The sequence below is a fragment of the Homo sapiens genome, chromosome 19 (assembly GCF_000001405.40).
Source record: "Homo sapiens chromosome 19, GRCh38.p14 Primary Assembly".
Taxonomy (NCBI): Eukaryota; Metazoa; Chordata; class Mammalia; order Primates; family Hominidae; genus Homo; species Homo sapiens.
The window spans coordinates 19275856-19299086 of NC_000019.10; the positions used below are offsets into that span (position 1 = coordinate 19275856).

The following is a 23231-nucleotide window of genomic DNA, read 5'->3' on the forward strand; positions in this document are numbered from 1 at the left end:
CACCTGTGTGCTGGGCCGTGCCAGCACCACCTGCCAGGAGAGCACATGGGTGTGCCCAGAAGCCACCTGCCCCCACAGGTCTGAGGGAAGGTGGGGCCCTGCCTGGAGACCCCTCCCCAACCTCCCTCTGCAGCACAGTGCTAGGCTCGGAGGTTCCTGACATTCCTTTAGCCCAGGTGTGGCCAAGTCTCCAGCTTTATTATTATTATTATTATTTGAGACAGAGTCTTGCTCTCTTGCCCAGGCTGGAGTGCAAAGGCGCAATCTTGGCTCACTGCAACCGCTTCCCAGGTTCAAGCCATTCTCCTGCCTCTGCCTCCCGAGTAGCTGAGACGACAGGTGTGCACCACCATGCCCAGCTAATTTTATATTTTTAGTAGAGACAGGATTTCACCATGTTGGCCAGGCTGGTCTTAAACTCCTGACCTCCAGTGATCCGCCCGCCTTGGCCTCTCAAAGTGCTGGGATGACAGGGGTGAGACACTGCACCTGGCCTTCCAGCTTTACTATGCTGAAAACAACTTTCTTCCTCCCCTCCAGTGCAACCCAGGCTGAGCGGGGATGGAGACTCCACAGGCCAATAAGGAGAGCCCCGAGACAGCATCTTGCATCCCGCTGCTAACAGGAGGGGCTTCCTGCAACAGGACCAGGCATCTGTGGTGGATGAGCACTGGGACTTTATTACACGGCACGGCACTCGTGACAACGGAAGGGGTGGGCAGAAATGCAGGCCGGAACATTCCACAGTCCAGGGACGGTTGGTCATTCAGAAAGTATGTATTTCCAGAACACTCAGTAGTAAGGCCGTCTGGGATTGTTCTGTGGAAGGCAAAACAGATAACAGGAGGAGGGGATTAGCACTAAAGACAGCAGTTCCTCCTGTCTGGAACCTTCCGGAGGCAGCTGAGCCCGCACCCTTGAGGTGGCAGGGCAGGCTTGGGGGACGGGTGGGGGCTTGAATGCAGGTGGGTGGTAGGGGGCTCGCTGGTGAGACCCAGCCTGGCTGGACTGAGGAAGGAAGGGAGCCTTCTGTTCCTACCACCACCCTCTCCTGTCGACTGAGCAAAGGCAGCCCAGGAGGACATGCGTACCAGGGGGTTGGGCCGGAAGCGGTAGGCCAGCATCATCCTCTTGCGGAACGCCTCATACTCGTCGTCCTCCTTGGAGAGCTCCGCCGGCCGGTCAATGCCGAAGCCAGCGCCGTCCACTGTGGTGGTGCCCCTACAGGGAGAAGAGGATGTGAGCAGGGACCTGGGGCCAGAACTCTGGCCGGGGGGCCGGGCACAGCTGGGCTCTCAACAGCACCTCCCGCGGGTGCAGGGCTGGGCTGGGACATATCTGCACAGAGAGAAGCTTGAACCTGAATGGTCAAGGAGGGGAGACCCCCGGGGCGGGCGGGGGGGGGGGGCCTAGGCCCCAGGGTCCCACACAGGAAGGAGGAGCCCACAGTGCAAGTTGTCGCAGCTCTTGGGATGGCAGGATGGTTACTCAAGGACAGCCTTGAAGGGGGCACTCGGGGCCAGGGTCACACCTGGGAGAGCTCCTGCCCATCTCTGGGAGTGGTTTCGCACTCATGGGGAATTCAAATAAGGCCCTTCACAAGGCAGACAAGGCCTGACCCATCTGTACCCTCACCCACCCCATCTGGCCTGGAGATACTCATGAGGGGACGGAAGGAGGCCCTGGGACTGGGGAGGACCCAGCCCGTATGGCCTCCTGCACTGCAGGCCTGTGCCTGACAAGGGGTGTGCAGTGGGGTGCTGTGATCATTTTGCCACAAGGGAAAAGCGATGACATAAAGGGGTGGGAATGGGGAGGCGGCAGGGGACCCACAGACCCCAAGTTCATGGCCATGCCCTCCCACAAGGCCACACTCACTTGTTCACTGGGTTCTTGATGCCCTGGCCCTCTGAGCCCAGCCCCTCGCCCTCCTTCCAGCCCATCTTCATCAGCATCTGGTAGCCGATGTTCTCCACAGTCAGCTTGAACTCCTTGTACTCTGAGTAGTCAGGCTCACGGCCCTCCTGCAAGGTGAGGAGGTAGCTGTCACCCACCAGGGCTGGGGCTGTGGTGGCCCCCAAATCCAACCTTCTGCCTTTGGTTTCAATCAGTGCTGGGACCAGTGGCCCATCTGCCTCCCTCTCACCAGATCAGACTCCTTGAGAACAAACAGACCAAGCTCCTCCTGCTTCTCAGGGTCCCCGGGGCCTTAGTGCCAAACTGTGCACCCCTGGTGGCCAAGTCAAAAGGGCAAGAGGATGAGTTACACAGGCCTTATCCACCTGAGATAAAGCAATGGTTCACTGGCAAAGAGAAGCCCCGTGTTCATGTCCTGAGAGCAATTTGTTGTACAAGGTACTAATAAGAGATGGACAACGAGGTTACCACCTCACTAATGAGGTTATCAGGCCCTGAACAGTTTTATAAAAAAACCTCAAAAAGATAATGGGGGACGTGCCATGTCAGCCCTCTCTCCTCAGGAGCCCAACAGCAGCAGAGGCAGAATGTTAAACTCTGGTTCTGGAGAGGCCAGTCCGTGGGGACTTCTGCCGGAGAAACACTTTGCCTGTAAACTGCACTTAATTGGCTCCACTGGAAGCAAAATTTCCCCCGCAGCCCCAGGAAATGTTTCTGAGGCAGCAGCTGAGCTGCTGTTTGCTAATTCCCTACACAGACGGCGCCTGTCATTAACAGATGCCTCCTGCAGCGAAAAGGCCTGGCTCCTGCTGTGATCGAGAGGGTAGCCAGGCTACTTTGGGCACCTGCAGGGTGAGGCAGCTACAGGAGGGGCTGGCATGTGGCAGAGGCTGGAGCTAGGGCCCCTCCTGGCTCACCTTCAGGGCCTTGAAGGTCTCCATAAACTTTTCCAGCTCGTCTGGAGGCAGGAAGTCTCCGATGAAGTGCTTGCCCCGGCCCATCTTTGTCAGCTGCTCGGCCCATTCTGCTCAGAGAAGCAGAAAGGTGAGAAGAGGGAGAAGCAGGAAGGAGGGGAGCAGGCCTGGTGGCTCCCAGGGCACAGGTATGAGGCTCAGTGGGAGCCTGGGGCCCCCAGGGAAGGAGGCGGCTAGGCCATGACCCCAGCCCGAGCCTCTGCCTGGTGAGGCAGCCCAGCATTTAGTGAACCCTGTGCAGCTCTCCACCCTCACGATGTCAGGACTGCTCCTTTTCACCACGGAGAAAACTAGGCCCCAGAGAGACTGAGCCTCTCACTCCAGGCCTCACAGCCACAGGAAGCAGGCTGGGGGCTAAACCAGGATGGCAGCTCAAGACCACGTGTGGCGCATCCAGGTAACCTTCCAGGGCAGGTGAGGGGGGCCATGCCCAGCCCAGCCCGGCCCACCCCGCTGCCCCACATACCCCTGGTCTTATCCATCTCCATGCGCCGCAGCTGGTGCTCCCAGGTGCCCAGCTCGCTGTCCACCTCCTCATCACTGTCATAGCCGTGCTGGTGCTGTTGGACTGCCTTCTCCCACAGCAGCTGCATGTCCTGCATGGCCCGCTTGTGCTGCATGATCATGTCGTACATCTGCTGCATCTGCAGGGCACACTCGCCAGTGAGCCAGGGCACGGTGCTGTGGCCTGCCGGAGCCCCGCTCCTGCTCCCCGCCTCCAGTGCTGGGCATCCCCCGCCGGAACGTGGCTCATCTGGACCCCTGGGCAGGACTGGAGCAAGGACTCTAGCAAGTACTGAGTACTGCCCTGGGTTCTCTAAATCCCAGTGTGGAGCACGGAGGACCTCTTGGCCACTGAATGAGGGTGACTCAGGGTCCTGACCCCTGGGAGGGTCAAGGGTGATGTGACGGGGCTGCGGGCCTGGAGGAGGGGTCACAGCGAGCTGACCCCAGGGACTGACAGGCAAGCGCCTGCAGCTCCTCAGGGGAGCCAACACCGACACTGCCCAACTACAACTGGGAGGCCTCAAGTCCCTCAGGGTGCCCTGTGCTGACCAGGATGGTCCTGCACTAGACACGACAGAGGACTGCGGACAAAGAACATCAACGTAGACTCTCCCATGGGAACCAGCCCTGGAGCGCGGCGAGAAGCAGCCACAAAGCTCAGGCCAGGATCACAGACCACCGGGGCCGCCCCAAGGGCCAGTGGTCTCCCAGGCAGGCTGAGAGGCCACTCAGGTGCAGTGGGGGGTGGCATGCCACCTACTGGGGCAGGGGGACCTGCCTGCCTGGAAGCCTCCCCGCTGGCCATGGGTTCCACCTGAACACAGGAGCTTGGCGAAGCACATGAACCCCTGTGACCGCTGCACCCGGGGGTAGAGGACAACACTCTATGGGCGCCGACCATGTCCCCGTCCCCTTGTCCCCGCAGTCTTACCTCCTGCTGCTCCTTCAGCTGCTTCTTCTGGGCGTCTGAAAGCTCTGTGACGCCCACTAGACCCACAGGCTTCCCCTTCTCATAGCCGAGCCCCTTGAGGTCCTGAACTGGAAACCAAAGACACAGGGTAGTCAGAGCCTGACAGGTGCACCCCGATCTCGCTCCTGCGCTGGGGTGTGCTGTGAGTCTCACACCTTCATGACACTCCAGGCACACGGGGACCTCATATCATTACTGTCAGTGCCACGTGGTACGTGACGGCCTCGGGGTCCCGCTGTGTGCTGCCACGTGCACCCCCGCATCTTACGTCCTTGTGACCTCTCCAGCCAGGCTCTACGCACCACCACATTGCAGATGTGGACACCAAGAATCAGAGGTTCCGGGACTCACTCAGGGTCACACAGCTAACGAGTGACAGGGCAGGAATTTGCAGAGCCAGAGACAAGAGAGCTGAGACGGCATGTGGGCAGCATGCATGGGCGCACGCACAAACGGGCTCTCAGAAGGCAGCTCCGTTGCTAACAGACACCAGGTGTAAGCGCGCACAGATTCAGAGTCTGGCGTAAGACTCAGCTGTGCGACTCCCTTAGCTCCTTCAGGGGAGGCAGCCAACCATCCTCAGAGCAGCTGACATTTAATTTGGCATCAGCTGTGGAACTTGGCAGGCTCCAGTAACACTGACACATAGAAAGATGCTGCAACAGCCCCATCCGGGTGGCAGAAACCACCACCCCTCGGGCGGTGCGGTGCTTCCCGGGGGAGAAGGTGAGCAAAGGGGTGCAGCGGGCCCTCTGGGAAGGGAAAAGATTTGGGTCCTTCCAGCTCATCAACACTCGGGCTTTGCCGCTAAGAATGGCCCACATTTGCACTCTTAGTCCTTCCTTGGTTTACAGGGCACTGAGGGATGTGGGGGAGCCCTGTTGGGGAGACGCAGGAGCCGAAGTCTGAGCATCTGGTTGATTGCCTTAGAGCATGCCCACAGTCCCTTTCCCCCAGGCCCACTCCACCACATGAGCGGGCGGGTGAGGGCTGCCATGCTCCCTGAGGACATGGATCAGTGGGACTTGAACCTGGGCCTCAGACTTTGGAGCCTGTTCTGTCCAACTAAGCCACAGGGCGACTTCTTCACCTGCTGGGTGTCTCAGAGCTGGGGTGTGTGCGCATTGAAGCACCCGGATCTAAGCACTAGGGTTCGGCACTTGAGTGACAAACCAATCCTAGGTACCCTCCACCCTGGCTGCAGTTGCTGGCTACAGCCCTGGTAAGCATAAGAATCTTCATTCAGTAGCTTTTCTCCTTGACCTAGAATCTCTGAGGCCCTTGGGGCCAGGGAGGCACCGAGAAAGCAATCATCCCTGAATTGGACGAGCAGGTCCAAGAGGCTGGCCACCCGACCTGGGAAGGCTGTCGCCTTCCCTTTTGGGGTCCTGTCCTCATCTTGCAAACACAGGTGATGGCGCCACACAACAGGGCACGTCGGACTCCTCCATGCACCTGTGTGTTGAGCGCCAGTGAAGGTGGAGTGAGGGGGTGATGTTTCTGCTCCACAGTGCAGGCTGCATAGCTGCATAGTGGGGCACCATATGACATGAGATAGTGGGTGTCAGTCACTGATTATCATCTGCAGAATGCAATGACAAGAGACCACCCCCCAACCCTTGTAGGTTTGGTAAGAAAATGAGAGACCAGGCCATAGGCTGGCCCTCCCCGAAATTGCTGCTAAGAAGGGAGAGGTGAAAAGGTGATTGTGTAAAACTGTGGTAATTATTGTGCTTATCGTTGTCTGTCTCTTGAACTTTCTTTCATTTTTCCCGAGATGGAGTCTTGCTCTGTCGCTCAGGCTGGAGTGCAGTGGTGCGATCTTGGCTCACTGCAACCTCCGCCTCCCAGGATCAAGCAATTCTCCTGCCTCAGCCTCCCAAGTAGCTGGGACTACAGGCACGTGGCACCACATCCAGCTAATTTTTGTATTTTTAGTAGAGACGGAGTTTCACCATATTAGTCAGGCTGGTCTTGAACTCCTGACCTCAGGCGATCTGCCCACCTTGGCCTCCCAAAGTGCTGGGATTACAGGCGTGAGCCACCACACCCAGCCTCCTGAACTTTCTGTGACAAGAAAGAATCCAAGTACTGGCCGGGAGTGGTGGCTCATGCCTGTAATCCCAGCACTTTGGGAGACTGAGGTGGGAGGATAGCTTGAGCCCAGGAGTTTGAGACTAGCCTAGGCAACATAGTAAGACCCCATCTCTATTTATGTTAAAAAAAAAAAAAAAGAGACTCAATTCAGACCCAAAGACACAAATACAGTCAGGAATCACTTCATGGAGGGGACCATTCTGGAAATGCATCATTAGGCGCCGTTACCAATGTGTGAGCATCACAGACTGTACCTCCACAAACCTAGATGCTACCGCCTACTGCACACCTACACTAGATATTACAGTTGACCTTGAACTACATGGGTATGAACTATACAGGTCCACTTAATATGCTGATTTCTTTCAATGAATATATTGAAAAAATTTTTGGAGATTTGCAACAATTCGAAAAAAGTCAGATGAACCACGTAGCCTAGAAATACTGAAAAAAAAATCAAGAAAAAGTTAGGTGTGGCCAGGCACGGCGGCTCACGCCTGTAATCCCAGAACTTTGGGAGGCCAAGGTGGGCGGATCACAAGGTCAGAAGATCGAGACCATCCTGGCTAACACGGTGAAACCCCGTCTCTACTAAAAATACAAAAAATTAGCCAGGCGTGGTGGCAGGCGCCTGTCGTCCCAGCTACTTGGGAGGCTGAAGTAGGAGAATGGTGTGAACCCGGGAGGTGGAGATTGCAGTGAGCCAAGATCGTGCTACTACACTCCAGCCTGGGCGACAGAGTGAGACTCCATCTCAAAAAAAAAAAAAAGTTAGGAGTGTCAATGAATGTATAAGATATATGTAGATGCTAGTCTGTTTTATCACTTACTACCATAAAACATATACACATTGCAGAAAGTTAAACTTTATCAAAACTTATGCACACAGACTGTACATAATGTGTTTTGCAGTCAAGAGAAATGTAAACAAATGTAAAGATGGTAGATGAAATCTTTTTTTTTGGATATGGAGTCTTGCTCTGTCACCCACGCTGGAGTGTAATGGTGCAATCTCGGCTCACTGCAACCTCCGCCTCCACCTCCCGGGTTCAAACAAATTCTCCTGCCTCAGCCTCCCGAGTAGTTGGGACTACAGGCACCTGCCACCATGCCCAGCTAGTTTTTTTTTTTCCTTCTTTTTTTTCTGTTTTTGAGACAGAGTCTCACTCTGTCATCCAGGCTGGAATGCAGTGGTACGACTTCGGCTCACTGCAACCTCCGCCTCCTGGGTTCAAGAGATTCTCCTGCCTCAGCCTCCCGAGTAGCCGGGACTACAGGTGGCACGCCACCACACCCAGCTAATTTTTGTATTTTTAGTAGAGACAGGTTTCAGCATACTGGCCAGGCTGGTCTCAAACTCCTGACTTCATTGATCCGCCCGCCTCGGCCTCCCAAAGTGTTGGGATTACAGGCGTGAGCCACCACGTCCGGCCAATTTTGTATTTTTAGTAGAGACAGGGTTTCACCATATTGGCCAGGCTGGTCTCGAACTCCAACCTTGTGATCTGCCCGCCTTGGCCTCCCAAAGTGCTGGGATTACAGGCGTGAGCCACTGCACCTAGCAGATTAAATCTTAACTGCATAACATTAGCTGTAGTGCACACGGTACTACTGTAATCATTTTGTAGCCTCCTGTTGCTATTGTAATGAGCTCAAGTGTTGAGAATATCTGCTTAAAACACCACATGACACTGATCATCTCTGCACAAGCTGTTTGTCCCTTTAGCAAATTGCATATTGCGGTAAAGAGACATCTCTCAGGGTTCTCAAGTATTTTTCAGGTTTAGTGCAATATAGTAAACCTTGAATAACATCATGGGTCCCATAAAAATTGCCACTAGTCAAGTGACTGTAGTCCCAGCTACTCGGGAGGCTGAGGCAGGAGAATCGCTTGAACCCCAGAAATGGAGGTTGCAGTCAGCCTAGAGTGTGCCATTGCACTCCAACCTGGGCAACAGAGCAAGACTCCATCTCAAAAAAAAGTGCCACTAGTGATGGCGGAAGTGCTCCCAAGAAGCAGAGAAAAGTCAAGACATTACAAGAAAAAGCTGAATTGTTTGATATGTGCCATAGATTGAGGTCTGCAACTGCAGTTGCCCACTATTTCAAGATAAATGAATCCAGCATAAGGACCACTGTTAAAAAAAAAAAAAGAAGAAGAGAAATTCACGAAGCTGTTATTGCAGCTATGTCAACAGGTGTGAAAACCTTGCACTTTCTGTGAAGTAACTTTTTATCTCACTTTGAAAATGCAGTTTTTATGTGTATAGGACTGCTATCAGAATGACACACCTACAAGGTTTAATATGATTTAAGAAAAAAGCAAAGTCACTATATGACAATTTAGAACAAAAGCAAGGCGAAGGAGCGAAAGCTGGAGAATATAATGGCAGCAAAGGATGGTTTGACAGGTTTAGAAAGAGGTTTGGCTTTAAGAAGATGTCAGGATAACAGGAACAACAGCTTCTGCCCACCTAGAGGTGGCAGATGAGTTCCCAGATGCCATTAAGAAAATCATTGAGAAGGAAAGATATGCATGTGCTCAAACAGGTTTGTTTTTTTTTTTTTTTTTAGATGGAGTCTCGCTCTTTCGCCCAGGCCGGACTGCAGTGGTGTGATCTCGGCTCACTGCTGCCTCCCGGGTTCATGCCATTCTCCTGCCTCAGCCTCCCGAGTAGCTGGGACTACAGGCGCCCGCCACCGTGCCTGGCTAATTTTTTGTATTTTTAGTAGAGACGGGGTTTCACCGTGTTAGCCAGGATGGTCTCGATCTCCTGACCTCGTGATCCGCCCGCCTCGGCCTCCCAAAGTGCTGGGATTACAGGCGTGAGCTACCGTGCCCAGCCTCAAACAGGTTTATTTTGAAATGGAGTCTTGCTCTGTCACCCAGGATGGAGTGCAGTGGAGCAATCGTGGCTCACTGCAACCTCCGCCTCCTGGGTTCAAGCGATTCTCCTGCCTCAGCCTCCCAAGTATCTGGGATTACAGGAGCCTGCCACTACACACAGCTAATTTTTTGTATTTTTAGTAGAGATGGGGTTTCACCATGTTGGCCAGGCTGGTTTCAAACTCCTGACCTCAAGTGATCCACCCACACTGGCCTCCCAAAGTGCTAGGATCACAGGCATGAGCCACTGTACCCGGCCTCAAATAGGTTTTTTAATGCAGACATAAGTGCCCTATTGGGGTGGGGGAGCCAAAAAAGACATTAGTAAGGAAGAGGAGCAAACACCAGAATTCATTTATTTATTTCTGTTTGCTTGGACACAGGTTCTCACTTTTTTGTCCAGGCTGGAGTGCAATGGCGTGAACATGGCTCACTGCAGCCTCAATCTCCCAGGCTCAAGTGAACCTCTCACCTCAGCCTTCCAAGTAGCTGGGACTACAAGTGAACACCACCACACCCGGCTAATTTTTGTGGTTTTTTGTAGAGACAGGGTTTTCTCATGTTGCCCAGGCTGGTCTCAATTCAGGCCTCAAGCGATCCGCCCACCTCGGCCTCCCAAAGCACTGGGATTACAGGCATGAGCTACCGTACCCGGCCAAGCACCAGAACTTAAGGCAGGATAACGCTACTGTTTTGTGCAAATGCAGTTGGGTTTATGATCGGGGCTGCCCTTATCTATGAAGCTGCTAACCCCTGAGTCTTAAAGGGAAAAGATAAACACCAGCTGCCCGTCTTCTGGTTATACAACAAGAAGGCCAGGGCAGGACAGCCATGGTGGCTCACGCCTGTAATCCTAACACTTTGAGAGGCCAAGGCAGGAGGTAAAAATGCCTGGACAACAAAAATTCTTTTTCTAGATTGGTTTGCTCCTGAAATCAGGAAGTACCTTGCTAGTGACTGCTTGTTAAAGTTCTTTTGATATTGGACAATGCCCCTGGCCACCCAGAACTTCATGAGTTTAACACTGAAGGCATCAAAGTGGTCTACTGCATCCAAACAAGGTCTCTACTTCAGCCTCTAGATTGGGGGGTCGTAAAAACCCTCAAGGCTCATAACACACGTACTCTATGGAGAGGATTATCAAAGCTACGGAAGAGAACCTCAGCAGAGCGAACATTATGAAAGTCTGGAAGGGTTACACTACAGGAAAGGCCATCAAGCCTGAAACAATAAATTCCTGCTAGAGAAAACTGTCTTCAGATGTGCATGACTTCATGGGATTTATAACAGAGTCCATGAAGGAAATCGTGAAAGAGATTGTAGAGACAGCAAAAACGGGTAGAGGGTAAGGGATTTCAAAAGATAGATCTTGGAGAAATTTAAGAACTAAAAAGCTGGACATGGGTGGCTCATGTCTGTGGTCCCAACTGCTTGGGAGGCTGAGGCGGGGAGATCACTTGAGACCAGGAGTTTGAGTCCAGCCCGGGCAACATAACAAATCTCTTGTCTCTATAAAAAAATAAAAATTAAATAAAAATTTAAAAAAATAGGTCTGGCCAGGCGCAGCGGGTCATGCCTACAATCCCAGCACTTCGGAAGCCCGAGGCAGGTGGATCACCTGAGGTCAAGAGTTCGAGAGCAGCCTGGCTAACATGGCGAAACCACATGTCTACTAAAAATACAAAACTAGCTGGCCGTGGTGGCACATGCCTGGGTGACAGTGCGAGACTCTGTCTCCAAAAAAAAAAGCAAAACAACAACAACAACAACAACAACAACAAAATAGGCCGGGCAAAGTGGCTCACGCCTGTAATCCCAGTACTTTGGAAGGCTGAGGCAGATGGATCATTTGAGGTCAGGAGTAAGAGACCAGCCTGAGCAACATGGTGAAACCCTGTCTCTACCAAATACAAAAATTAGCTAGGCATGGGCACACACTTGTAATCCAAGCTGCTCGGAAGACTGAGACGGGAGGATCCCTTGACCCCAGAGCGCAGAGGCTGCAGTGAGCCGAGATCGTGCCAATTCACTCCAGCCTGGGTGACAGAGTGATACCGTGTCTCAAAACATAGGTGAGGCGAGGTGGCTCACACCTGTAATCCCAGCATATTGGGAAGCTGAGGTGGGCGGATCACTTGAAGTCAGGAGTTTGAGATCAGCGTGGGCAACATGGTGAAACCCTATCTCTACAAAAAATACAAAAAATTAGCCGGGCATGGTGGTGCATGCCTGTAATCCCAGCTACTCGGGAGGCTGAGGCATGAGAATCGTTTGAACCAGAGGGGCAGAGGCTGCAGTGAGCTGAGATTGTGCCGCTGGACTCTAGCCTGGGCAACACACAAACACTCCAAATCGAAAAATAATTAATTAATTAAAAATAGAAGAGCTAACAGATACCACACTGGAGAAATTAACAGAAGACAGCTGGATGGAAAGGAGTGCTTCCAAATGAGTGCCAGATGATGAGGAAGAAGCCGGAGAAGCGGCAGCAGCACCAGAAAAGAAAATGACAATCTGGTAGGAGGATTCTCATTATTCGAGACTGTTTCTGACTTCTTTTATGACATGGACCCGAGACATGGGCACTGGAACTAAGTGTAAATGGTAGAAGAAGGAATAATACTGTATATAAACATTTTTAGGGAAATGAAAAAGAAGTCAGGCAGAAATTGTGAGATATTCCCATAAAGTTACAGAGTGCCTGTCTCTCCTTCCACCTCTTCGGCAGCAAGACCAACCCCTACTCTTCTTCCTCCTTAGCTGTTCAACACGACACTGATGAAGATGACCTTTGTGATGATCCATGTCCGCTTCATAAATAGTCAATATATTTTCTCTTCCTCCCTTCTTTTTTTTTAAAAGAGGCAGGGTCTCGGGAGGCAGAGGTTACAGTGAGCCGAGATCATGCCATTGCACTACAGCCTGGGCAATAGAGTGAAACTGTCTCAAAAATAAAGAGGCAGGGTCTGTCTGGTTGCTCTGTTTGGACCCTCTGTCATCTAGGCTGGAGTGCAGTGCCACGATCATAGCTCACTGCAGCCTCAAATTCCTGGACTCGTGTTCCTCCTGCCTCTCAGCCTCTTGAGTAGCTAGAGCTATAGATGCACACCACACAGCCTGGCTAATTTTTCCTATGATTTTCTTAGTAATATTTTCTTTCTTCTAGCTTATTTTATTATAAGAATATAGTACATAATACATATAACATATAAAAAGCATGTTAATCAACTGTTTATGTTACCAATAAGGCTTCCGGTCAACAGTAGGCTATTAGTAGTTAAGTTTTTGGGGAGTCAAAAGTTACATGTAGAGGCTGAGGTGGGCAGACCACTTGAGCTCAGTTTTGAAACCAGCCTGGGCAATGTGGTGAAACCCTGTCTCTACAAAAAATTAAAGAATTAGCCAGGCGTGCTGGTACAGGGCTATAGTCCCAAGCTACTTGGGAGCCTAAGGTGGAAGGATAGCTTGAGCTCAAGAGGTTGAGGCTGCAGTGAGCTGTGATTATACCACTGCACTCCAGCCTGGGAAACAGAGTGAGACCCTGCCTCAAAAAAAAAGTTTATATTCAGATTTTCTCTTTTTTTTTCTTTTTTTGTGAGACGGAGTCTTGCTCTGTTACCTGGGCTGGAGTGCAGTGGCGCGATCTCAGCTCACTGCAACCTCCACCTCCCGAGTTCAAGCGATTCTCCTGCCTCAGCCTCCTGAGTAGCTGGGATTACAGGCATGTGCCACCATGCCCGGCTAATTTTTGTATTTTTAGTAGAGACAGAGTTTCACCATGTTGGTCAGGCTGGTCTCGGACTCCTGACCTTGTGATCTGTCCACCTCAGCCTTCCAAAGTGCTGGGATTACAGGTGTGAGCCACCAAACCCGGCCTATATTCAGATTTTCAACTGCACAGGGCTTGGTGTCCCAACCCCCATGTTGTTCAAGGGACAGCTGTATACCCCGTTGCTCCCAGGCTACAAACCTGTAAAGTAACACAGTAAGTATTTATGTATCTAAACATAAAAAAGGTACAGTAAAAATACTGTACTATAATCTTATAACAATTTTAATAATGACCACTGTCATATATGCAGTCCATCACTGACCAAAATGGTGTCATACAGGGCCGGGCATGGTGGCTCACACCTGTAATCCCAGCACTTTGGGAGGCCGAGGCGGGGAGATTACTTGAGGTCAGGAGTTTGAGACCAGCCTAGCCTGCATGGTGAAATCCCATTTCTACTAAAAATACAAAAATTAGCTGGGCGTGGGCTGGGCATGGTGGCTCACGCCTGTAATCCTAGCACTTTGGGAGGCTGAGGCAGGTGGATCATCTGAGGTCAGGAGTTCAAGATCAGTCTGGCCAACTTGGTGAAACCTCGTCTCTACTAAAACCAAAAAAATTAGCAGGGTGTGGTTGCAGGCGCCTGTAGTCCCAGCTACTCGGGAGACTGAGGCAGGAGGATCGCTTGAACCTGGGAGGTAGAGGTTGCAATGAGCCGAGATAGTGCCACAGCACTCCAGCCTGGGCGACAGAGGGAGACTCTGCCTCAAAAAAAACAAAAAACAAAAAACAATAACAAAAACAAAAAAGAATGAATGAAGAAAGAGGTTCCGGACAGCAGAACTCATGGAGGTTCCTGGAGGGTGGCGTGCCCAGGGAGGGCATGGAAGCTCCACGCCCCTTCCCCCATACGTCGCCCTATGTGACTCTTCATCTGAAAAAATCCCTCAAGTCAAGAATACAAGGAACTAAGAGGGAGTTAGGAAGAATATAAGGGCCATGTACTCGGCCCCCAACCCCTAATCTCGGTGGGTGTGGGTGATAGGAAATTTATGTCTGGAGATCTAAGAGCAACATGAACTTCTGCTCTGCTTCTCTTCTAGAATTTTAAGAAGGTGGTAGACTGGCAGATGTGACCCGCCATCACACAAGAAGAATGGAAGAGATGGTGGCACACTGAGACTAGTTGGAGACCCCTAGGAAATTACCCTTCAGTTTCCTGTGGCTCCCAAGTGATGGAGGAAGGCTGAAAGTTCTTGCGGGCAAGGAGAGAGGGAAGGAGCAGAAACTGGTTATGGTACATAAATCTATACAAGGAGAACTGAGTGTGCTTGTGTTATTATTTTTAATGTTTAGATAATCAATGTACAAACATTCTTGCTAAGTCAGGCACGGTGGCTCACACCTGTAATCCCAGCACTTGGGAGGCGGAAGCAAGTGGATCATCTGAGGCCAGGAGTGCGAGACCAGCCTGGCCAACGTGGCAAAACCCCGTCTCTACTAAAAATATAAAAATTAGCCGGGCATGGTGGTGGGCACCTATAATCCCAGCTACTCGGGAGGCTGAGGCAGGAGAATCACTTGAACCTGGTAGGCAGAGGTTGCAGTAAGCCAAGATTGTGCCACTGCACTCCAGCCCGGATAAAAGAGCAAGACTCTGTCTCAAAGGGAAAAAACAAAAAACAAAAAAAACTCTTTGCTATATATACACAGTTTTGTTATTTTTATTTTTAAGGAAAACTGTATTTCTGAAAGTAGGGTTTGAAGAGAAGTTTATTATAGATTACTGACAAAGCTAATCTATCAGTTAATATATATAACAATCATTTATTTATTTATTTATTTTTAAAAGAAAGAGGCTGGGTGTGGTGGCTCACGCCAGTAATCCCAGCACTTTGGGAGGCTGAGGTGGGCGGATCACAAGGTCAGGAGCTCGAGACCAGCCTGGCCAACATGGTGAAACCCCGTCTCTACTAAAAATACAAAAATTAGCTGGGCGTGGGGGCGCCCACCTGTAATCCCAGCTACTCGGGAGGCTGGGGCAGGAGAATTGCTTGAACCCGGGAGGTAGAGGTTGCAGTGAGACAAGATCATGCCACTGCACTCCAGCCTGGGTGACAGAGTGAGACTCCATCTCAAAAACAAACAAACAAAAAAATAAGAAAGAAAGAAGATCTAAAACCAATAACCTAAGCGTACACCTTAGTGAGCTAGAAAAAGAAGATCAAACTAAATCCAAAGCTAACAGAAGAAAATAGTAAAGTTTAGAGTGGAGATAAGAAAATGAGGACTATAAATACAATGGAGAAAAATCTATGAAACCACAAGTTGGTTCTTTGAAAAGATCAACAAAAGTGACAAACCTTTTAGTTAAACTAAGAAAAAAATGAGAGAAGACTCAATTACTAAAATCAGAAATGAAGGAGGGGCTGTAACTAACGACTGAAAATAAGACATAAGTTAAAAGGACCATAAGAAAATACAATAAACTGTGCCCCAACAAATTAGATAGATGAAGTGAACAAATTCCTAGAAACACAAACCATCAAAACACAAGAAGAAATAGAAAATCTGAATAGACAAGTAAATCAGGATTCGAAAAAACCTTCCAACAAAAAAAGGCCAAGAGGCTGGGCACGGTGGCTCACACCTGTAATCCCAGCAATTTGGGAGGCCGAAGCGGGTGGATCACGAGGTCAGGAGTTCAAGACCATCCTGGCTAACACAGTGAAACCCCGTCTCTACTAAAAAAAAAATACAAAAAATTAGCCAGGCTTGGTGGCGGCGCCTGTAGTCCTAGCTACTCAGGAGGCTGAGGCAGAAGAATGGCGTGAACCTGGGAGGCGGAGCTTGCAGTGAGCCGAGATCACGCCACTGCACTCCAGCCTGGGTGACAGAGTGAGACTCTGTCACACACACACACACACACACACACACACACACACACACACACAAAAGGGCCAAGAATTAGATAGCTTCACTGGTAAAGCAAACATTTAAAAGAAGAAATAAGCCGCGTGCAGTGATTCATGCCTGTAATCCCAGTGCTTTGGGAGGCTGAGGTGGGCAGATCACTTGAGGTCAAGCATTCAAGACCAGCCTGGCCAACATGGCAAAACCCCATCTCTACTAATAATACAAAAATTAGCCAGGTATGGTGGCAGGTGCCTGTAATCCCAGCTACTCGGGAGGCTGACGTAGGAGAATTGCTTGAACCTGGGAGGTGGAGGTTGCAGGGAGCCGAGATTGCACGACTGCACTCCAGCCAGGGTGACAGAGTGAGACTCCGTCTCAAAAAAAAAAAAAAAAAAGAAAGAATACCAATTCTCCTCAAACTCTTCCAAAAACACAAAAGAGAGAACATTTCTAAACTTACTCTATGGGGCTAGGATTAGCCTGATACCCAAGGCAGACAAAGATACTACAAAGAAAGAAAAATAGGCCAGGTGTGGTGGCTCACGCCTGTAATCCCAGAACTTTAGGAGGCCAACATGGGCAGATCACTTGAGGCCAGGAGTTCAAGACCAGCCTGGCCAACATGGTGAAACCCTGTCTCTACTAAAAATACAAAAATTAGCCGGGTGTGGTGGTGGAAGAATTGCTTGAACCCAGGAGGTGGAGATTGCAGTAAGCTGAGATCGCGCTACTGCACTCCAGCCTGGGCAACAAAGAGCAAAACTCCATTTCAAAAAAAAAGAAAAAGAAAGAAAGAAAAATACAATTGAATATTCCTATGAATACAGATGGAGAAATCCTCAATAAAATACTAGGAAACCAAATTCAGCAGCTTATGAAAGGATTATACACCATGACCAAGTGGGATTTATCCCCGCAATGCAAGGATGGCTCAACATTTGAAAATCAATCCATGTAATACACCAAATTAATAGAATGAAGGAAAGTAACCACACGATGATTTTATGTATTTATTTACTTTTTTTTTTTGAGACTCAGTCTCACTCTGTTGCCCAGGCTGGAGTGCAGTTGCTCAATCTCGGCTCACTGCAACCTCTGCCTCCCAGGTTCAAGAGATTCTCCTGCTTCAGCCTCCCAAGTAGCTGGGATTACAGGCGTGTGCCACCACACCCAGCTAATTTTTGAATTTTTTTTGGTAGAGACGGGGTTTCACCATGTTGGCCAGGCTGGTCTTGAATTCCCGGCCTCAAGTAATCTGCCCACCTCAGTCTCCCAAAGTGCTGGGATTACAGGCGTGAGTCACCGTGCCTGGCCTGTTTTAACTGATGCAGAAAAAGCATCTGACAAAAACTAAAACATTTTCATGATAAAAACGCTCAATAAACTAGGAACAGAAGTGAACTTCCAGACAGGCCTGGTGGCTCACGCCTGTAATCCCAGCACTTTGGGAGGCCAAGGCAGGCGGATCACCCGAGGTCAGGAGTTCGAGACCAGCCTGGCCAACATGGTGAAACCCTGTCTCTACCAAAAACACAAAAATTGGCCAGTCGTGGTGGTGGGCACCTGTAGTCCCAGGTACTAGGGAGGCTGAGGCAGGAGAATTGCTTGAACCCGGGAGGCAGAGGTTGCAGTGAGCTGAGATCACACCACTCCAGCCTGCACATCAGAGAAAGACTCTGTCTCAAAAAAAAAAAGAACAAGAAGAAGTGAAGTTCCTCAACACAATAAAGCCCATATATAAAAAACACATAGCTAACATCATACACCCACACATCATACATTTCACAGACTGGTAAAAGGCTGAAAGCTTTCCTCCTAAGATCAGCAACAAGACAAGGATGCACACTTCCACCATTTCCATTCAATACGGTACTAGAAGTCCTAGCCAGAGGAATTAGGCAGAAAAAGAAATAAGAAGTATCCAAGTTGGAAAAGAACCTGTAAAACTATTTCTGTTTGCAGATAACACAAACTTAAATGTGGAAAACCCTGAAGAATCCACAAACAGACCGGGTGCAGTAGCTCATGCCTGTAATCCCAGCACTTTGGGAGGCCAAGGTGGCAAGATTGTTTGAGGCCAGCAGTTTGAGACCAGCCTGGGCAACATAGTGGGACCTCATATCGACACAAAAAATGCAAAGATTAGCCAGGCATGGAAGAGCATGTCTGTAGTCCCAGCTACTTGGGAGACTGGGGCAGGAGAATCAATTGAGCCCGGGAGGTCAAGGCTGCAGTAAGCTGTCATCATGCCACGGCACTCCAGCCTGCGTGACAGAGTGAGACCCTGTCTCAAAAGAAAAAAAAAAAGAATAAAGTTGGAAAAATTAACTCAAAATGGACCAAAAACCCTGGGTGCAATGGCTCATGCCTATAATTCCAACACTTTGGGAGGCCAAGGCAGGAGGATTGCTTGAACTCACGAATTCAAGACCAGCCTGAGCAACATGGTGAAACTCCATCTCTACAAAAAGTACAAAAGTTAGCCAGGTGTGCTGGCATGCACTTGTAGTCCCACCTACTTGGGAGGCTGAGGTGGGAAGACCACTTGAGCTTGGGGAGGTCGAGGCTGCAGTGAGTAGCCACTGCACTCCAGCCTGGGTGACAGAGTGAGACTCAAAAAAAAAAAAAAAAACCCAAAATAGGCTAAAGACCTAAATTTAAGAACTAAAGGTACAAAACTCTCGGTAGGAAACACAGGGGTAAATTTTCATGCCCGGATTTGGCAATTGTTCCTTAAAAATGACACCAAAAGCATAAACCACAGAAGAAAAAATAGATACATTTGACTTCATTAAAATTCCATTTCTAGGGAGGGCTGGATTACAGCAGGCACTGGGAGACCGCACAACTACCTGCCCCCTCCCTGGCACTACCATCCCCTGGAGGGTCTGCCTTCAGTTCAAAAAAAAAAAACTGATACTTTCTGGCCACATTAAAAAAAGAAAGAAAATTTAAAAGTTGTATGCATCAAAAGACGCTATTACTAAAGTGAAAAGACAACCCATAGAATGAGAGAAAGTATTTGCAAATCACATAGCTGACGAGGGGGTTAATATCCAGAATCTATAAAAGAGAACTCGTACAACTCAACAACACAAACAAACCAACTTTAAAATGGGAAAAGGTGGCTGGGTGCAGTGGCCTGTAAACCCAGGACTCTGAGAGGCTGAGGCAAGAAGATGGCTTGAGCCCAGGAGTTCGAGATCAGCCTGGGTAACATACTGAGACCTTGTTTATATAATAACTGGGCAAGGCTGGGCCTGGTGGCTCACTTGAGGTCAGGAGTTCAACACCAGCCTGGTCAACATGGTGAAATCCTGTCTCTACTACAAAAAAAAAAAAAATTAGCTGAGCATGGTGGTGTGTGCCTGTAGTCCCAGATACTCAGGAGGCTAAGGCAGGAGAATTCGCTTGAACCTGGGAGGTGGGCCGGGAGCGGTGGTTCACGCCTATAATCCCAGCACTTTGGGAGGCTAAGGCAGGCGGATCATGAGGTCAGGAGATCGAGATCATCCTGGCTAACATGGTGAAACCCCCTCTCTACTAAAAATACAAAAATTTTGCCAGGCGTGGTGGCACACGCCTGTAGTCCCAGCTACTTGGGAGGCTGAGGCAGGAGAATCACTTGAACCTCGGAGGCAGAGGTTGCAGTGAGCTGAGACTGTGCCACACTGTACTCCAGCCTGGGCAACACAGTGAGACTCCTTCTCAAAAAAAAAAAAAAAAAAAAAAAAGAACCCGACGGCAGAGGTTGCAGTGAGCTGAGATCGTGCCACTTGCACTGCAGCCTGGGCAACAGAGCGAAACTCTGTCTCAAAACAAACAAAAACTGGGCATGGTGGGGCAAGTCTGTGGTCTCAGCTACTCAGGAGGCTGAGGTAGGAGGATTCCTTAAGCCAGGGTGGTAGAGGTTTCAGTGAGCTATGATTGTGCCAGTGTACTCGAACATGGGTGACAGAGACCTCATGTCAAAAACATAAAACGTGGGGAAAAAAGGACTAAAATAGACATTTCTCCAAAGAAGCTATACACATGGTCAATAAGCATATGAAAATAAGCTCAACAGCACTGGTCATTAGGGAAATGCCAACCCAGACGACGAGATATCACTTCATACCTCTTAGGATGGTTATAATAAAAAGATGAGAGTATGACTCTTGCCTATAATCCCGGCACTTTGGGAGGCCGAGGCAGGAGGATCACTTGAGGACAGAAGTTCAAGACCAGCCTCAGCAACATAGTGAGACCCCGTCTCCATAAAACTTTTTTTATTTTAAAAAAAGGTGAGGATACAGAAAAAGTGGAACCCTTGTGCACTGCTGGTGGGAATGTAAAATGGTGCACCTGCAGGTTCCTCAAAGTTAAAAGGAGAATTACAGGCCAGACGTGGTGGCTCATACCTGTAATCACAGCACTTTGGGAGGCTGAGGCGGGTGGATCATCTGAGGTCAGGAGTTCGAAACCAGCCTGGCCAACATGGTGAAACCCCATCTCTACGTCCCAGCACTTTGGGAGGCCGAAGCGGGAGATCACGAGGTCAGGAGATAGAGACCATCCTGGCTAACACAGTAAAACCCCATCTCTATTAAAAAATACAAAAAATTAGGCGGGCATGGTGGCGGGCACCTGTAGTCCCAGCTACTCAGGAGGCTGAGGCAGGAGAATGGTGTGAACCCAGGAGGCAGAGCTTATGGTGAGCTGAAATCGCACCACTGCACTCCAGCCTGGGCAACAGAGCGAGACTCTGTCTCAAAAAAAAAAAGAAAAAAGAAAAAAGAAAAAAAAGGCAGAATTGCAATAGGCCCAGCAATTCCACACCTAGGTATACCGACAAGAGAACTGAAAACGATTCAGATAGTCACAGCAGTATTATTCACAACAGCCAAGCAGTGTAAACAACCTCTGTGAATATAAGAGTTCATTCACAGATGAGTGGGTAAGCCAAATGTGGTATGTACACACAGTGGAAGATATGGCCACAGAAGGAATGAAATTCTGATACAAGCTACACTGTGGATGAACCTTGAAGACATTATGCTCAGTGAAAGAAGTCAGACCCTTCCAACACAGGGAGGGGGAGAGGGTCTGCCCACCTGACAGAGGCGAGGGAGAGGCATCCACGTCCCTCTGCACCAGTTCAGCAGGTGGGAGCTCTACCTTATCCTCTTCAGGCCCCCACCGGCTCTTCCGCTTCCTCTTCACGGTGGCTGCGGAGGCTGGCTTCCCGGGGGCAGCTGGAGCAGGGATGATAGTGGGCGCAGGCGTGGACGAGGCGGGGCAGGTGGTGGCTGGGGGTAAGGACCCTGACAGGGCCTCAGGAGGGGACTTGCGCTTCAGGCCGGGATCAGGTGCTGTGAAGCTGCCTGTGGAGCTGGCCTTGGCTTTCCGGAACTCCTCCAGCTTCTGTCGGTAGTACTTGTACCCTTGGCTATTGGGCTCATACAGAAAGCTGCAAAGGAGAGTTGGGGGGTGCAGTGTCAGCTGGGCCCGAGGCCCTGTCCCTGATTCTGGGCAGGAGCAGTTCTGGCCTTGTGTGCCCACGTTGGCCAGGGTCACTATATGGTCATGTCATAGTCACGGTCTCCACCATGACCTCCTGCCCTGCCAGGCCTCCTGGCAGTGACTGCTGGTTCTGGTGGCCCGATGCCCTTCCTTTGAACTGAGTCACTCCAATCCTCACCCTGTCTTTATCAGGCACCCATCACACTGTCATTGTTCACCCTGCTACAAAGGGAAAGGGCAGGGACCCTCAGACCCTTCCCCAGGGCCTGGGAAAAGTGAGACATTCACACCAAAAAATCTCAGATTGTGGGGAGACACCAGACACGAGACAGGGCAGAGGGACTTGTCTTGATCCCAAGGGCTTCTCAAATGCATCTTTGAGACAATGAACATCAGAACGGACCAAGGAGCTGATTTCTACCCCACGTGGGGGCAGGCAGCCTCAGGGAAGTGTGGCTTCCAGTGAGGCTGGGAGCACAGGTCTTCTCTGTCCCTACCCAGCCTGAGGAGCACAGCAGGTGGCGCTGGGTTCAGAGCCATGTTCCGCACCTACTGGCGCCTCTCGGACCGTACACATCCCCAGTCCACAGGACTGTCTTTGGGGTCTATGCCAAAAGGGAGAGTCTTGGCCCAGCTCCACATGGCAGAACACGGGAGAGAACTGAATGCATGTACAGCCCTGAAAGCATGTTACAGTGCTGAACAAGATGGGGCTGGACCTGCACTTGTGAATCTGGAGGGATGGTCATAGCACCAAGGCGTGCAACTAATGTGAATTAAAGGGTCAAGGATGCTGTGAAGTCCCTTTGTGTTACAGAGGCCGGGCGCGGTGGCTCACGCCTGTAATCCCAGCTCTTTGGGAGGCCGAGGCGGGCAGATCACCTGAGGTCAGGAGTTCGAGACCAGCCTGGCCGACATGGTGAAATCCCGTCTGTACTAAAAATAAAAAAATTAGCTGGGCGTGGTGGTACACGCCTGTAGTCCCAACTGCTCGGGAGGCTGAGGCAGGACAATCACGCGAACCTGGGAGGCGGAGGTTGCAGTGAGCCAAGACTGGGCCACTGCACTCCAGCCTGGACCAGAGTGAGACTCCATCTCAAAAAAATAAGATAAATAGTGAGCGAGCAGCAAGAGACCCCTTAGACAGTTTCTAGGTGAGCCTGTGTGTCTACGGCCCTGCTAACATCCGGTACCTCAAGAGGGTGGGACAGAAGGACAGGAGATGACAGCATCTTCTCTGTAATCCTGGGTCATGGTACACGTGTGACCCAGTGAGGAACATATGCAAAGATTAAGAGGTAAAAGCAACAACTGTTCAGGAGAGAAGGGAACAGTTGGTCAGATTTGGAAAAGACACTTGACAGCCGGGTGAGTTCAGACATGGATTTGAGAGGCCAAGCTGGGGAGGCTCACTTGCTAGGGCGAGCAGGCATCGGGGTGTGGGGGCCCCTTCCTGGTCTCAGCTGGTGCTTCACCCTGAGTGTCCTCCAGGATGGTCCAAGGATGCATCACAGTCCCCTGGAGGGTCTGCCCATCTCGGGGAGGGGGTTACAATGGCACTCAATGGTAGACCCCCATGAGGGGGAGAAAGTGGAGCCCCCCAACACCCCATCTAGAACACGGCTGGGTGCACCACCAAGGTTCCCCTCTGGTGGAACTAATCCCACCCTGAACCCAGGGATAACCACT

General features: G+C 50.4%; 1 protein-coding gene across 2 annotated transcripts in view; it reads right to left on the reverse strand.

Moving 5' to 3' along the window:
* Positions 1 to 177: 177 nt before the first annotated feature.
* The window catches only part of SUGP1 (SURP and G-patch domain containing 1), a 44477-nt gene continuing 21423 nt past the window's right edge, over positions 178 to 23231 (reverse strand). For both annotated transcript variants that reach the window (NM_172231.4, XM_047439142.1), the window contains 7 exons: positions 21134 to 21489; positions 4330 to 4436; positions 3358 to 3535; positions 2835 to 2941; positions 1879 to 2024; positions 1092 to 1221; positions 178 to 819 (listed from right to left, as the gene is read on the reverse strand). In NM_172231.4, the coding sequence (NP_757386.2) occupies positions 793 to 819; positions 1092 to 1221; positions 1879 to 2024; positions 2835 to 2941; positions 3358 to 3535; positions 4330 to 4436; positions 21134 to 21489 (1051 nt within the window). In that variant the 3' untranslated portion in view covers positions 178 to 792. The remainder of the gene's footprint in view (positions 820 to 1091; positions 1222 to 1878; positions 2025 to 2834; positions 2942 to 3357; positions 3536 to 4329; positions 4437 to 21133; positions 21490 to 23231) is intronic.